General features: G+C 42.2%; 1 long non-coding RNA gene across 3 annotated transcripts in view, besides 3 other annotated features; it reads left to right on the top strand.

Moving 5' to 3' along the window:
- Positions 8,318-8,477: an enhancer, noted in NCBI's record as "active region_3397". NCBI's record gives its function as "activates an Ori minimal core promoter by ATAC-STARR-seq in GM12878 lymphoblastoid cells {active_cell/tissue: GM12878}" and the evidence as "EXISTENCE:reporter gene assay evidence [ECO:0000049][PMID:35858748]".
- Positions 8,559-8,853: a silencer, noted in NCBI's record as "tiled region #13978; HepG2 Repressive non-DNase unmatched - State 18:Pol2, and K562 Repressive non-DNase unmatched - State 23:Low". NCBI's record gives its function as "represses a minimal TATA promoter and a strong SV40 promoter by Sharpr-MPRA in HepG2 and K562 cells {active_cell/tissue: HepG2 | K562}" and the evidence as "EXISTENCE:reporter gene assay evidence [ECO:0000049][PMID:27701403]".
- Positions 8,698-8,787: a silencer, noted in NCBI's record as "silent region_2392". NCBI's record gives its function as "represses an Ori minimal core promoter by ATAC-STARR-seq in GM12878 lymphoblastoid cells {active_cell/tissue: GM12878}" and the evidence as "EXISTENCE:reporter gene assay evidence [ECO:0000049][PMID:35858748]".
- The window catches only part of LINC02625 (long intergenic non-protein coding RNA 2625), an 89,240-nt gene continuing 80,956 nt past the window's right edge, over positions 8,838-17,121 (top strand). Inside the window, exons 1-2 of one of the 3 annotated variants that reach the window (XR_001747461.2) lie at positions 8,838-8,923; positions 13,222-13,322. This is a non-coding gene — a long non-coding RNA (long intergenic non-protein coding RNA 2625). Of the gene's footprint in view, positions 8,924-11,867; positions 12,070-13,221; positions 13,323-17,121 lie in introns of those variants that run through there. The other 2 variants (XR_001747458.2, XR_001747460.2) reach the window with 2 other exon arrangements.

Raw genomic sequence — 17,121 nt, 5'->3', positions numbered from 1 at the left:
TTTATGCTTCACAACAATCCTCACGTGGCAGAAAAAACCAACATATTATTACTCACATTTTACAGTTGAGAAAATTGAAGTTTGAAGCAAGTCACTTGCCTCATGGCACTTGTTTCAGAGGTTTACAAACCTTTATGTAAGTGTTTAGCTGCAGAGCTCTTTCTGAAACTGAAATGTACTCTGGAAGAGAAAAAAAATGAACCAGATAATAGCCTGACAGCTTTGCCTTCCTGTCCTATCCTGTCCTGTCCTGATAGCCACTGATCCCAGGTCTGAGGTAAGAGGGCGGCCTTCTTGGACAATGACTGTGGTAGCAGTGACAGGTGGTCATGAGAGAGTGGGGCTCTTTGGTTTCTGGTTTTTACATGGCCTCCAAATCTAGTGAGAGTTGGAAGGTTGAGATCTCCCCCGCAAATGCTGGTGGAGCTTCCTTGGTGAGTGAAATGCTGACTTTGAAGGCAATTCTGCACAGCAATGCAGAATGATGTCCTCTGCTCTCTGCCCACTGTTAGCTGGTGTTCTGAATTTTGCCTATTTGGCACACCTGGGGAGTGGTAGACTTTGTAAAAGAGAAAGGTATCTAGTGTTGGTGATGCTGGTACACATGGTGGGGGTGGAGAATCAAACCTGGAGTTTCTAAATTGGGGAAAAGGCAAAGTGGCCAATGGGACATACAGCCAATTTTATAAAACCCCTTTTTGCAGTCTCCAAGATAGAAAATTGGAATCCTTTGGATAAAATAGTATTGCATATTTATACCTCTTTTACTAGTTTCAAGCACTGGCCCGCATTATCAGGAACCTAGCTAGCTAAAGAGATATGTAAACGTAATCATCAACCACTGTTGGCTTACAAAGAACCTCCAGATATACATTCTTTGGCAATGCAACCTAATTGGTACATCATTAATGGCCATTGAGTGAATAACCAACACCTTCTGCAAAGTAGGTATTTTTATCCTTATTTTACAAGTGAGGAAACTGGAAGATTAGGTGATGTGCCTGAGGTTGTCTGACTCTGAATCTGGTAACTTTTCCAGTATACCAATGCATGCTGTCATTGACAACTTTGTCACTGCATCGTAGAAGCAGACTTTTCGTGATAGGAAGAGGCTTTGCCCATGTCTATTCCATGCTCTTCTTTATCTATAAAGAAAATGGCATCCAGAGGAGTTTCAAACACCTATGTGGAAACATGGTCTCTTCCTTTGAAGAGACTTGGATTATATCTTATTAATAGCTATTCTCTTGAGATTACATAATTAATAATGTACAAAAGCTTAGCGATGTACAAAAACACACCTGAGAAAAATGCAAATATATGCAAGAAAGGGAAAGATGAGCTGGCTGTAATAGAGAAAGATATCTGTATTAGTTAGGGTGGCAACAGCTGCTGTAACAAATCCTAAAATATCAGGAGGTTTAGTGTCATGAAATTTTATTTCTCCCTCATGTAACAGTCCAATGCAGATATTGCTGACTAGTAATGGTCATGGTGGGGGCGTTGCTCCATGCAGTCTTTCAGGGATCCAGGTTAATGGAGGCTTTGCCATCCTCCGTGTGTCACTTCTCAGCTCATGCCATGCTGGGCATCAATATATAGCAAGAAAAAGAGAGGAGAATGAGGGATTGCATGGAGGAATTTGTTTTATCGGCTAGGACTGGAACGCATCATTTCTTTCCATATATCATTTTAGAATTCAGTCACATGGCCATATCTGATGCTGGGAAGCTGGGAAGTGTAATTGTGTTCACAAGATGAGGAAAGACTTTTTGTTACCAGCCAGCAATCTCTGCCACAGGATCCAAAGGATGGACAATTATGGGAAAGTGACCATCTCCTCAGGTTGATGAAATTCCCGTGTGCCTGTCCGTTCGATGAGTTTGTAGAAGACCATGATTCTAACCTGTATCTTTGATAAGGAAGGGCAAGTCAGTGGAGGAAACAATGTCCAAATTCTGTTGATCTTTTAGTACCAACATCATGAAGTTTTTCCTGGTCAGCTTAGACAGAAATAATCATTTTCTCCTTTGGATTTCCACATTACTCCACTTTCTCATCTCTCATGGACTCTTCGGCTTTGGACAATCATGTACCTACCTTTTTTTCTTCCCTCTATAATCTTTGACCAAGTTATACTAGTGAAATACTTGTAAAACCTAGTTTATATATTAGAGTTCTACATATGATTTCATTAACAAAATATTTAAAGTTTGAAAGCTGTTGGATAGGATAATCTCTAAAATTCCTTTAAGCTCCATCAAATCTACAATTCTGTTGACCTAACAACATAACCTGGATTTATAGGATAATTGCCAGCTTCCCACTTCACTTTGTATTGGGACCAAGCTTTTAAGCATGAAGAAGATAGAAAAAATTGTTGAGTGTGGAGGAGGGAAAATTCAACTGAACTTACTGAAACTGATACAGCCCTTCCAGAAAATACACTAAAGAACCAAGTGGCTAGCTTTAAATTACTGTTTCCCATAGTGAATTAGGAAATGGATTCCCCTTAGTGGGCCATATCTGTCTCTTGTATATGACTCTAATTCAGTTGGTCACATGAGTATAAAACGGCACCCAGGGGCTGTTTTGAACTATGTACCAAACTGAATTCTGCAGTTGTCTAACCCAACCTCTAATTTTCAATCTATCAGTGTGTAAGTCTATGCTTTTTGCTTTCTCAGAATTCGCATAAACTCCAGCAATCTTTCTTTTTCCTTCTTCTTTATTTTTGGTTGATAATAGTGTTTGTGTTAAAAATCACACCTTCTTTTGATTTCTTGCATGCCTATAGACTTTTCTCGTGTTTGTGTATGTAAGTGCTTTTATCTCACTCTGTAATCAGTCACAACTCAGGGTGGAAGCAGGGAATGTTTGGTACAATATTTCCTATATAAACAGTTTCACTGTAAAAGAAACAATATGGCTCTAATTTTGATGTATGATCAGTTTAGAAATATGCAAACACATTTGAATATACATCCTGTACATGACAACAGCAATATGAAATTGGATACACAAAAGGGCTTTTTTTTCCCTCTGGTGATTTCCCCAGCCCTCCCCCAACCAGACGATATCAGCTTTATTTCCAAGCTTTTAAGTGAAAATGCCTGCTTTGATAGCTTTCCCAAATTGCTAAAAATATATGTAGTCAAATAGAATTTTTTTAATGGTCAAGTTGTCCCCTGGTACACACTCTGTCTTCGTCTGAATACAAATAAAAGCTGCCTAAATTGAAGAGAGTTTAACATTTTCCAATGCAGCTGTGAAGTAAAATTGGAAGTGGCAGTAGTAGACACACAGCCCAGGGATATTGAAGATATATTTGTTCTGTGTGAGAAGAAAGCACTTGGATCATTAGGTCTGATTTGACTCTGCCAGGTGGGAGGTGAGTCTTTGTCCCGCTGGTTTGGTCACAGACTGCCCAGGTGTAAGGTTGGGCATTGACGGGGCAGTCTAGTGGTGGAGGTAGCTTTGTTTTTCTATCTCTTTCTCACAGCACAACTTTGCAGTTGAGCAGTAGATATTCAGTAACATGTAGTTGTAATTTGGCTACTTGCAGTTTTTAAAGAACAAAGAAAGATCACTTCTTAAAGTTAAAAGTATCATCCTTAATCCTACCACCTTAATTCCTGTACTATGTATTGGGAATTTACTAAAAACCAGAGACAGCTAAGCCAACCTATGAGGTTAATACTATTATTAATATTCCCATTTTTGTGGAAAGGAATTGAGGCTTAGAGAGAGATAATGCAATTAGCTAAGAGAATACAATTAGGAAGTGGCGCAGCTTGCATTAAATCCCAGCCCAGTGGGCTCCAGAGCAAATGCTCCTAATTTCTACTCCAAACTGCCTCTTAGCCCTAACACACTAAATTTTATTTTTCCATGTTTCTAACCTGCCTCCTATAAACATGAGTAACTTTTCTTACTTGAAATCAGAGTGAATACACATACACAGAGGAATGTATTAAAATTGAAATATTGGATATTTAGAATATTTTAAAATTATTTTAAGGATTGTTCGATATTACTTTCATAGTATTCATTAATATAATTTTGTCATTTCTAATGCTGCATAGCTCATATTAAAAATATACTTACTGTGTGATTTCAAATTATGTGCTAACATTATACTTTTACATACACTAAGCATTTTGTCCTCTCTTCCAAAAGAAAATTGCTAGAAGCATGCATCTTCATTTTATCTCCATTATCTCCATTTTATAAATGTGGAAGTTGAGAGTTACAGGACTTAAGTAACTTACCCAAAATCTGACATCTGGCCTGTGGCTGGGCAGAAATAACAAAAGAGACTTTTTGACTCTACATCCTGGGCTCTTTCCACTAACAGCTGCCTTTTGGAAAATTAGCAAACCAAAATGTCCAGTGCTTAGGGCATAAGTAGGTACTGCATCCTTCCTGGGAGCCATGATCTCAATGTTTGTGTCCTCTCAAAAACTCATTAGTTGAAATCCTAATCCCAAAAGTGATGGTATTAGGAGGTGGGGGCTTTTGGGAGGCAATTAGATCATGGGATTAGCGCTTATATAAAATGGGCCCTAGGGAGCTTCTTGTCCCTTTCCCCATGTGAGGATACAGTGAGAGGGCACTATCTATGAACCAGAACATGGGTCTTTACTGATGCCTCAATCTTGGACTTCCCAGCCTCCAGAACTGTGAGAAATAAATGTCTGCTGTTTATAAGCTACTCATTCTATGGTGTTTCGTTGTAGCAGCCCAAACAGCCTAAGGGAGTGGGCAATAAATTTACTATGTGGATGGCAGCTGAAGGTAACAATAAGCACTGATTTACTTTCTGTTGAAAGCATATGACATGGCTCCAGTGTTAAGATGTGTGCTTAGATGGATGTTCTCGTGAGCATTATGGATCTGGGCAGACCTATCCAGACCCAGCAACCTGTTGACAAACAGTGCCCGTTGCCAAGTCTGGACCTTAGGTCTTCTGGGGATCTGCTCTGGGGACGGAAAGACATCAAATGAGAATCGAGGCATCTTCAGCATCCGACTTCAGTGCTTCATTTGGTGTGCGTGTGTGTATGGAGACTGTTTTTCGACAAATGCTAAATCCTAACTGTCTTTTCTTCCTCCCTTCCTCTTTTTTGGTTTCTTCTACTTTATCTTAAGGCAGGTTTTCCCTAAGTGTGTTGTGGGGTGACTGGTGGTATACCTGAGATAATTTTTAGCAGTACCTACATGAACATTTCCTTATTTTAATCATTGTGTACTTATTTTAATAAGTATTAGAGAAAATATATATTAATATGTGTTTTAATATTAGAGGAAAAATACATACTAAAATAAGTACACAACAGTTAAAATCAAGAAACAGTGACTTGCACCCATATTATTGCTTAGGATGAATCAAAATTGAGGTTAAAAAAAAGTAAATCATTTGAAGAAAAATATTAAGTAAATACAATTACAGGTGGTTTTAGGACGTGTAAAAAGCCTGAAGGTGGCTTGTGAGTGAGGGAAGTTTGGGCAACATTGCTTAAAAGATGTATTATGGCTGGGCGTGGTGGCTCAAACCTGTAATCCCAGCACTGTGGGAGGCAGAAGCAAGCAGATGACCTGAGGTCAGGAGTTCAAGACCGGCCTGGCCAACATGGTGAAACCCCGTCTCTACAAAAATTACAAAAAATTAGTTGGGCGTGGTGGCACGCCCAACTAATGACTGTAATCTCAGCTACTTGGGAGGCTGAGGCAGGAGAATCACTTGAACCTGGGAGATGGAGGTTGCAGTGAGCTGAGATCACTCCACTGCACTCCAGCCTGGACAACAGAGCAAGACCCTGTCTTAAAAAAAAAAAAAAAGTATTGCTTTGCCTTTCCTCTCTTTCTGCACCAACAGCCCGATCTCTTACTGCAGCTCAATGCCATTCTGATCTTTCTGGCAGGAATGCTGCCTTGCTTGACCTTTTAATTCACTGCTTCTTTACCCCAGCGCTTGACACAGTGCTCAGCACGTAGTAGGAAGTTAATCTGGGCTCTTGAGTTTCACTGCTTTTAAAGTAGCAAAGCAAGCCAGCTTGCTGCCTGCCTCCGGGCCCTGCCTCTCAGCAGCATGCCTAGAGATCCAGGGCTCCCAAAGTCTGATCCTCAGCTAAGAGAAGGAAACAAGGGACAGAAATAGAACAAAAAATCTTGAACACAGATAAAAGGCTTTTTGATATTTGCATGAAATATGCTTCTTAAAGAGGAACTATTTTTATAGTATTATCTATAAGAGATTATAGGCAAAAATTAATTTTCTAAGTCTTTATAGTTAAAACAGTCTGTGCACAGAAGGAATTTAAATTCCTCTTTTAATAAAAAACCTTGCATTGTCCTGCAGGCAAAGGGTTAGGTTTCTTTGTGTGATTATTTTGTGATTTCTGAGGCCAAGAGAAATTTGTAAAATGCTATAAAGACTGCTATGCTTACTTCACTGCATTCCAAACTTCATCTATGCTTCCTCATAAAAGATTATTTGGGGGTAGGGGAAGGGCAGAAATATTATAATATAGCAATGCAATAAAGTATTGTAAAACTGTAAAATACAGAAAGGATAGGAACTAAAGCTTTCTAGGTGAAGAGAGATGAGGCAGCACTAACTATCTAAAGTTAATGAATAGGAAGCCAAGAATTGAACTTAGAACAAACTGAGAGTTGAACCAAAGGCATTTGAAGTGTTAATTTATTAAATAACCCTTCGCTTTCAAGGCTTACAATAAAAAATATTTGTGGTCAGGAAAGTTAGGAGACAGGAAACTGAAGTCTTCTAAAGCCATTTTTATGCTTGGAATGAAACCAAACCTTTATCCAATCATAAACCTCGTGTGTTTATCTGCAAGGGAGTGGAGAGGGAGAAAGAAAGGGTAGCAGTATTTGATTTCTATTTAAAGTTCCTCTCTTCGCCCTGGATTTCGGTACTAACGGGGTGTCTCCATGTGGCGTAGAGGAGACTGCTGTCTCCCCTGCCTCTCCCTGCCTTTATCCACAGCACCCACCCTCTGAGTTGATGTGCATGCATTGGCTCAGTTTCCCCGCTTTAGTAAAAATTCACAGGGAAGTGTGAAACGGTTTAATGATTAAAGCTGAACTTGATCTGTATCAAAGAGTTCTTTTCCATCCTGGAAATCTGAGCCTCTTGAAAATTGTTTAGATCCAAGAGAGAGACTACCCAAGTGTCCACACAGGCCAGCTTGAAAGGAGAATGGGGCAGATCTCCAAACATGACCTGTCTTTAATGTGATAGCCCGGAACAGTGCATCTGAGAGCAAGCCGCTGTCTTTATGCTCCTTTCCAATGGTGCTGCATCCTGGTCTAGTGAAATTCTTCTCAGTGAAGAATTTAATGGGGAAGACTCCCAAGGACTAGGAGAAAAATATGAATGTCTTAAATGGCTGACTATTTCAGATATCTCTCTCTGATGGATGAAGAAACTAAGACCACAGAAGGTAAAGTGACTTGTAGTGGAGTGTATTCACTGAGGAATGAGACTATTGAGTTCTGGATGAAGAGTAATCTTGAATAAGTGACTTAACAGCTCTGAACCTCAGTTGCCCCAACATCCGTGGGTTGTTTGGAAATGTCTACATTCTTGATTCCAGGTCAAAGGTGTTTTCTGTTACGCCACATCCAGTAGTATTGTGCCCGGAATTGGTGGGTTCTTGGTCTCACTGACTTCAAGAATGAAGCCGGGGACCCTCGCGGTGACTGTTACAGTTCTTGAAGGCGGCGTGTCCGCAGTTTGTTCCTTCTGATGTTCAGATGTATTCGGAGTTTCTTCCTTCTGGTGGGTTTGTGGTCTCGCTAGCTCAGGAGTGAAGCTGCAGACCTTCGCAGTGAGTGTTACAGTTCTTAAGGCGGGGCGTCTGGAGTTGTTTGTTTCTCCCGGTAGGTTCCTGGTCTCGCTAGCTCAGGAGTGAAGCTGCAGACCTTCGCGGTGAGTGTTACAGCTCATAAAAGCAGTGTGGACCCAAAGAGTGAGCAGTAGCAAGATTTATTGCAAAGAGCAAAAGAAAAAACCTTCCACAGTGTGGAAGGGGACCCCAGCGGGTTGCCACTGCTGGCTCGAGCAGCCTGCTTTTATTCTCTTATCTGGCCCCACCCACATCCTGCTGATTGGTAGGGCCCAGTGGCCGGTTTTGTCAGGGCACTAATTGGTGCGTTTACAATCCCTGAGCTAGATACAAAGGTTCTCCATGTCCCCATCAGATTAGTTAGATACAGAGTTTGGACACACAGGTTCTCCAAGGCTCCACCAGAGCAGCTACATACAGAGTGTGGATTGGTGCATTCACAAACCTTGAGCTAAACACAAGGTGCTGTTTGGTGTGTTTAAAAACCTTGAGCTAGATACAGAGTGCCGATTGGTGTATTTACAATCCCTAAGCTAGACATAAAGGTTCTCCAAGGCCCCACGAGAGCAGCTAGATACAGAGTGTGTATTAGTGCACTCACAAACTTTGAGCTAGACACAGGGTGCTGATTGGTGTGTTTACAAACCTTGAGCTAGACATAAAAGTTCTCCAAGGCCCCACCAGAGCAGCTAGATACAGTGTTGATTGGTGCACTCACAAACCCGGAGCTAGACACAGGGTGCTGATTGGTGTGTTTACAATCCCTGAGCCAGCCATAAAGACTCTCCACCTCCCCACCAGACTCAGGAGCCCAGCTGGCTTCACCCAGTGGGTCCTGCACCGGGCTGCAGGTGGAGCTGCCTGCCCGTCCTGCGCCGTGCGCTCGCACTCCTCAGCCCTTGGGCGGTCGATGGGACTGGGCGCCGTGGAGCAGGGGGCGGTGCTCGTCGGGGAGGCTCGGGCTGCACAGGAACCCACGGAGGCGGGGGAAGGCTCAGGCATGGCGGGCTGCAGTCCTGAGGCCTGCCCCGCGGGAAGGCAGCTAAGGCCCGGTGAGAAATCGAGCGCAGCGTCGGTGGGCTGGCACTGCTGGGGGACCCAGTACACCCTCCGCAGCCGCTGGCCCGGGTGCTAAGTCCCTCATTGCCCCGGGCCAGCAGGGCCGGCCGGCTGCTCCGAGTTTGGGGCCCGCCAAGCCCACGCCCACCCGGAACTCCAGCTGGCCCGCAAGCGCCGCACGCAGCCCCAGTTCCCGCTCGCGCCTCTCCCTCCACACCTCCCTGCAAGCTGAGGGAGTGGGCTCTGGCCTTGGCCACCCGAGAAAGGGGCTCCCACAGTGCAGCGGTGGGCTGAAGGGCTCTTCAAGTGCCGCCAAAGTAGGAGCCCAGGCAGAGGAGGCGCCTAAAGAAAGCGAGGGCTGTGAGGACTGCCAGCACGCTGTCACCTCTCAGTATCGTTTTGCCTTTTTTAAAGCTTGGAGAAGGAATGTTCGTAGATTTGGTATACTCTGCTCACTTTTACCCAGTAGCATTCTGGGACAAAGTTGGCAGACTTGTTGTAGGAATAAAAATGGGGCTTAAGGAACTTAAATTTATAAAGTGCCTACTATGTGTCAGGCACTTTACATACATCTCGCTTAATTCCTGCAAAACCCAAAAGAAAATGTAGGAGATAGGGGTTATTATTCTCATTCTCAATTGGAGAAATTGAACCTCTGATAGGTTAAGCAATATAACTGAGGTGGCTCAGCCAGATGCCAACCAAGTCCCAAACCAGGTGGTTCTTGTCTCCAAAGTCTAGGTGTTTATGAAACTGGAAATGGCTATTTTGTGACCTTTGGCATTGCCCAAGTCCCATTAGATTTCTCCTTGATTAGCTACCAAGAAGGATACATTATGGATCAGATCTCCTTTGGTGTTCAGAGCCAAGATTCAAACTGGGCTGACTTGAGCCCAAAGCTGGTGCTTTCAGTCATCTCATTTCATTACCCTCAAACAGTATCAGGGCAGAACCTGTTTCAGGAATGAGACAGCACAGTGCTTAGGAGGTGCCTGTCATAAGTTTGAGCTTCTGGACCAGTTGGATTTGACTAGAGGGAAACTTGTTTCAATGGCTATTGGCACTTCCTCCCTTTTGTTGGATGTAGGGTAGCCACGGACAGGGGACATTTGAAAGACTTGGGAGATTTGGGCCAGACTTGGTGATAGTCGCCAGTGCTGTGTAGTGGGTGGGCTTTGGAATCAGTCATTCCTGGCTTAAGTTCTAGTTCCATCTCTACCTAGCTCTATATACAGAGAGTGATTTATGAGATGGTTCTAAGCCAATTTCCTTTATGGTAAAAAGATAATCACAATAACACCTAACTCACGGGTTGTTTTGGAGATTAAATGAAAACATTTGTAAAGAAGAAGCAAACTGGAGGCATAACCCAGTCCATAGGTTGCCTACAAGGTGTTTTTTTTTTTTTTTTTGAGACAGAGTCTCGCCCTCTCGCCCAAGCTGGAGTGCAGCGCTGTGATCTCGGCTCACTGCAACCTCTGCCTCTCGGGCTCAAGTGATTGTCATGCCTCAGCCTCCTGAGTAGCTGGAACTGTAGGTGTGCACTACCACGCCTGGCTAATTTTTGTATTTTTAGTAGAGACGGGTTTCACCATGTTGGCCAGGCTAGTCTCGAATTCCTGGCCTCAAGTGATCCATCCACCTTGGCCTCCCAAACTACTGGGAATACAGGCCTGAGGCACCGTGCCTGGCCCACCTACAAGTTGTTTTAAAATATTTTCAGTAGTTTCCAACTTTTAAAAACTATGAGATAACAGGCCAGGCGTGGTGGCCCATGCCTGTAATCCCAGCACTTTGGGAGGCTGAAGTGGGCGGATCATCTGAGATCAGGAGTTTGAGACCAGCCTGGCCAACATGGCGAAACCCTGTCTCTACAAATACAAAATTAGCTGGGCGTTGTGGTGGGTGCCTGTAATCCCAGCTACTTGGGAGGCTGAGGCAGGAGAATCGCTTGAACCAGGGAGGTGGAGGTTGCAGTGAGCCAAGATCATGCCACTGCACTCCAACGCTCCAACCTGGGCCACAGAGTGAGACTCCATCTCAAAAAAAAAAAAAAAAAAAAAAAGATAATTGTCTGTTTATCTCTCTATCTTTATCTCTTCCTTCCCCAAACATAAAATCCATGATGTAAAGATTTTCTTTTGAATATTCAGAAAATCTGGCAGGATCCTCATGGGATCTTCTCATGAGGTAATAATAAAATAAAAACAAACAGCAGCTACTGCCTTAGATAGGGCATGTATGCTCCTGTCTGCCCCAGCTCCCTGCACACCTTACTGCCTGCTTTCTTTCTCTGGTCCCTATAGACTCCATAGTGTTGTGCTTGGCATGTGGCAATATGCAGAAAGTAGCCGAGTCAGGATTTGAATGCTATCATTCTGACTCCAGAGCCAGAGGGATCAATCACTCTGTTCTCTGTCCTGGCTACTCAAAGTGTGGTCCATGGACCAGCATCCCTGGCATTCCCTCAAGCTTGTTAGACGTGCAGATTCCCAGACCCCAACCCAGACCTACTAAATCACAATCTGCATTTTAACAAGCCCCATAGGAGATTCACGTGCATATTAGAATTTGAGAAGCACTGCTCTACAGTTCTTATTATTAACAAATGTTTGGACCCTGAGCTTACAGATAAGGCCAGTGTGGTGGATGGAAGACTAGCCTGGGAATTGAGAATAGGATTCGAGTATATTTGCTTTGGGGTCAAGTCTTCTCTGGGCCTCATCATTTTTCTCTGCAAAAGGAGAGGACTGAGCAATATTTATACTTAGTATTCCACAAAAATATTTAATAGTAGTGTGAATTCTGGGTGAGAACTTCTAACTCTATGCTTGGTGCTGGGGCTACACATTCCTAGCATAGGCAATCCATGCCAGTCCTCTGGGACCTCTCAGGTTAGTACGCCAGAGAGTCAAACGAATGAACAATTACAGCACTTATAACAAACACATGCCTAGACTGCACCCGGTGCTAATACTCTGATCCCCAAATCACACCTAAGATGTACTAAATCATCTTCAGCATCCTGATCCAGGTAAAAGAGCCTCCACATGTGCCTGAGCAACTCCCCAGTACAAAACCCACCCCAATGAAGAAATGGATATGCCTTGTATATAGTCTGGCAGCCCCAGGGGAAACGGTATGTTGGACTGAGACACGGTAAAGAATGTAGATCTCACAGACCTTTATTTATTGACATTTATCCTAGGGGAGAATACCTTTTCATTTCATTTTCTTAAAAAATAAAATAATGCCTTTAAGCTAGCACTGAATTATAGATAGTGCTAATTTGGTTCAATTATTTTGCTCATTATGGGCAGAAACACAAGTGACATAACAGACCCAGGACTGAGAAATCAAGTCCCAGATTACTTGTGTGAAAATACAAGTGGGATTTAAAAAAATGTATCAAATAACTAGCTGTCACTCCTGATTAATAGCACCTCATCTAAGAGAAGCGGCTATTCTATCTTCTAAAGTGTCATTAAAATATAAAAAATAAAGAGTTCACGTAATTAAAGAAACATTATTTTGTTCATACAGCCTGAAAAAATGTGATTAGGCCGCAGTTCTAAAATGGTGATAGTCAATCAGGTAGGCGTTTGTATACCAGCACGGAGCAGATACTGCGGGTTATGTAAAATGTTGCCTCATTACTGTACCGTGTTAGGGCAGATGCCAAGGAAAGAGAAAGTTGGAGGTGAGGGCACATGGTTCATTCGCTCCGAAGTCACAAGAGTGGAGTTTTTTGTTTGTTTGTTTCAAAGCCAAAATAGCCGTTTTAGCAAATAAGCTATCTGGGTTACATTTCCTGTCAGCAAAGCAACAGGATCCACGTTGATGCTTGGATTCCAAATAAGACTGATTTAGTTATTCTGTCACTAAACACAACCTAAATTCCCATTCAACAAAAACAAGAATAATTGGTTTCGTTTTAGAAAGACAAGCAATCATTTTTCATTAGCGCATGCGGGAATGAAGCATGCTGTTGGATGCTAATGTACGCTCACAATGATGCCTGGGGATGGGGCAAGTAAACGCCACTTAGCAATCATTTTTTGTGAAATAATTTTCTTAAAGTAGGAGCTCTGTATGTAACTGAGTCTCTTAACCCATATGTGTGTGTATGAATCCATATAAATATATATGTTAGTTCAGGTCATTGGGCAAAAATAAATTCCTATTGGTTGTATCTTGTTCATAGTAGGCACTGATAAACGTTGGTTGAATTAATTTGCAGGAATATGAGTAGAAATTTGGTTTAAGGAAACACCACTTTTTTTTTTTGTAGTTCATGGGCTGCACAATTTAGCCTTGGAAATAGAGGATGACAAGAATACTGATGCTTCATAATTGAAGGCCTGGTTGGAGTATGCGGCCAGCCTTATCCAGGTAATGTGTTTCTGAGTAGAATGCACGGGAGATTTTTCTTCATCCCTGGGTTTTCCAGCATTGGTCAATGAACCAGCCATTCTTGGTGCATAAGTAAGATATTTTGTGACAAATATTCACTCAAGCAGTGTGTCTACCCAATGCCAAAGCAAATGCTTGAAAAGTGAAAACTCAATCAGTCAAACAGCTGGTTTGATCGTGGTTGCCCTGAATTCAAGAGTGGTTTAGTGATGGCGGCCAGGCATTGATAGGTGGCTTCCAGACAGGAATAAGATATTCTCAGGCCCTTGCCCTAGTGTGTAGGTTAATCCTTGACTCTGTCTGAAAGGATTAGTTTAGGCCAATGCTTGGACATTGGAAACTTAGCTCAGTAGACCAGTGGTCTCTAAAGGGGTGTAGAGGAAAATATTTGAACTCTTTTTGTTAAATTTTGGTTTCTTTTTACTGTCTAGTTGTGTGTGTGTTTGTGTGCTGTGTATACTTTATACTATATATATCTGAAAGTAGCACAAGTATAAAATTTATGAACAAGAAAATATATATTTATTAGGGATTGTGCTCAAAAGTTTTTCTAATAATGGAGTGCAACAATACAAAATTTAGAGATATTATACTTGGTCATGCTCTGTGAGGGCAGGGATGATATCAGCTTTATTTACCTCTGTCTACCCAGTTTCTAGCACAGTACACAGGAGTCGTTTTTTGATACTATAAACTCCAAGACAGCAGGCTTTCTTGTTTTTGCTTAATATCATATCTCAACTCCCTAGCACAGTTCCCAGAATTTAGTAGGTGCCACACATAATTTTTTTTTAAAATGAATGCCTGCTAGACAAATCAATTGTTCTAACAGAAGGTTTTACCAAGTTTTCCGGACACAGCTGAGGATCTCTACCTTATGAGATCTTTGGAAGCATTTTGGACGTTTTGGATAACCTATTCATGTAAACATTTGAAACAAAAAGTAGCCTTTTACACATGACCTGCACCCTGCTAGGATTCCCTCTCCTTTAAATTGTAAGCCAGACTTATTTTGAAGCAATCCTGATCAACAAATGTTCAGATTTAAATGAGGGCACTACGTTGCTTTTCAAATTTAAGATTCTTCACTTTGCCAAAGGATCACCATAGAGTCTCTTTAAAGAAAAAATAACCTTGTGCAATAAAATTTGACTAGTAAAAAGTAATGTGTACTCACATTTTTAGGAATACTTTTCTGCATTGTGTGAGGCAGACTTTTAACACTGTCTAGTGTAATAGTATGTCTTGACTGAAGAGAGGAGGAGATTGACCCACAGAGGTCATTTAAAATCACCTGGTAATTTATAGTGTGTGTGTGTGTGTGTGTGTGTGTGTGTGTGTGTGTGTGCGCGTGCATGTGTGTTTTCCCTTATCCACATTTTGCAAGGTTTTCAATCTCATGATGGAAAACAGCAAAGTATAAAGTTAGGAAATCTCAAAATCAAATCTTAGCTATGCTGTTTATTAGCTATAATTTGCCTAAAGTGATGTTTTGAAGCTTTAATTTACAATAATTATTTCCAATAATACCTCCTTTATAGGCATATGGATAGGACTCTTTTGGTTTCCAGTTTACAGAAAACCTAATTCCAACTGACTTCAGCTAAAGAAAAAAAAGAAAGGAAGTTGATTTGCTCATGTAAATGACAAGTCCAGGTTATAGAAGGGGCTTTAAGCCCAGTTTGTTATCCAACATCATCACAACTTGCTGTCTCTTCCCCTCTTACCCCTACCTACTTCTCTCCTGGCCTCAATCTGAGGCTCAGGTGGGGTAAGATGGCTGTAGCAGTACCGGCAGTACATTTTCTTTGGGGAAGAGAATGTGCATCTGTCTTAGCAGCCCAAGCACAAGTCTCTTTGCATCTCATTGGCTCATTTGGTCATGTGCCCGTCTTGAAGCAATTATTGTCGCCGGGAGAATGTGATGCACTCTTTGGCTTTAGTTTTGGTCATATGCCCAGCCCACTGCTGGGTGTGTCAGCATCTTTCCCCCAACCAAAATCACTTGGTCCTAGAGTAGGGGATAGATGATTCTGCAGAGAAAAGTTGGAGCAAAGTTATGAGACAAGGAAGAGTGACTGCTAGAAGGAAGCAAAAATATCAGCTGTCTTCTTCAGCCAGTTTGTGGGAAGATTAAATGAGTTCATATATATAAAAAAAGCACAGAACATAAACAATCAGTAAATGATTGAAAGTAGGTGATCAGGTTAAGTAAATCTCAAGAAATGAAACTCAGAAGCAATTTAGGGCAAGTTTGAGATTACACATACAAGGAACCTTATCTACTTGGAATTAGTTGAGTTCACTAAACAATTTCTTCAGCATCTGTGATGTGCCAAGTGTTGTATAAAGGGCTGAGGGTATTGAGATAAAAAAAGGAGTTGATCTCGGCCAGGTGTGGTGGCTCACGCCTGTAAATCCAACACTTTGGGAGGCTGAGGCAGGTGGATCACAAGGTCAGGCGTTCGAGACCAGCCTGGCCAACATAGTGAAGCCCCATCTCTACTAAAAGTATAAAAAATTAGCCAGGTGTGGTGGTGGATGCCTGTAATCTCAGCTACTCCAGAGGCTGAGGCAGGAGAATCGCTTGCAGCCGTGAGGTGGAGGTTGCAGTGAGCCGAGATTGCACCACTGACTCCAGCCTGGGCGACAGTGCAAGACTCGGTCTCAAAAGAAAAAATAAATAAATAAATAAATAAAAAAGAAGTTGGTCTCTGCCTTAGGCTTTCTTATAGTCCAGCACAGGATGCAGGTGTGTATGTCATTTCAACACAATGTGAAAGGCGTTGATGGAGGTATGCTCAGGGGCCTGTGGGAACACCAAAGATGAGCTTCAAATATAGCCTTGGGGGTAGGCAAAGAGTTGAGGGGAGATGTCCTCCACGGAGAAGCTCCTGATGAGTTTTAACAATTAATAAGAGCTATTGTGATGAAGAAATGAGGTGGATGAAGGCATTCTTCTGGGCAGCAGAACAGCATGGAAAGAGGTAGGACAGCTAGAAAATGCACAGTGCTACTAGAGCGGGGAGGCCACCATTTACTACCTATGCTGTGTAAAGTTGGAGGACAAGAGTGGCAGGGGATGAGGTTAAAAACATGTTCGTGGGGCTCCAACATCAAGGGCCTCATATTCCATGTCATGAAGACTGGACATTATCCTTAGGTTATAGGAGACCACCGAATGGCTTAAAAGCAAGGGAGTGACATGGTCCAGTTGAAGTTTTTGAAAGATGACTCTGGCTGGTGTTGGCAAATGGATGGGAGTTGGCCCAGATAGACTTTAGGTGAACTGGGGAAGATGCTGTTGCACTGGTCCGAGAGAGAGGTGGGAGGGCCTGGACTTGGGCACTGATGGTAGGTGTGGGGGGAAAGAGATTGGTGCTGGAAGGGAATAGCTCAGGCAGCAGGACTCAGTGATGGGTCAGATGAATGAGTCAAGTCAGGCCCATGACACATAAGAGGCACTTACACATCCATTCTTTTCTGATAAAAGGTAAAAAGAAAAGCAAACAACTGAAATTGGACAGGTCTGTCAGTAAGGAAATGGTTGAATATATGATGGTGCTTTCACATAGTAAAGAAACCTTACTCTGAAGAAGTAAAAAATAATCAGATGTTTAGTGTTTTGAAATATGCTTATGATATATAAAGTAAAAAAGCAGGCTATAAAATGAAATAGCGGTATGATCCCAATGTATGTAGTTAGTTGTAGAAACATCTGTACCATATCATTTTAGATGACTTATACCACAATGTTAATGAATTTTATCGCTGAAAT

The sequence above is a fragment of the Homo sapiens genome, chromosome 10 (assembly GCF_000001405.40).
Source record: "Homo sapiens chromosome 10, GRCh38.p14 Primary Assembly".
NCBI lineage: Eukaryota > Metazoa > Chordata > Mammalia > Primates > Hominidae > Homo > Homo sapiens.
The sequence above is the reverse complement of the archived record's forward strand: the minus strand, read 5'-3'. Positions and strand labels throughout refer to the sequence as shown.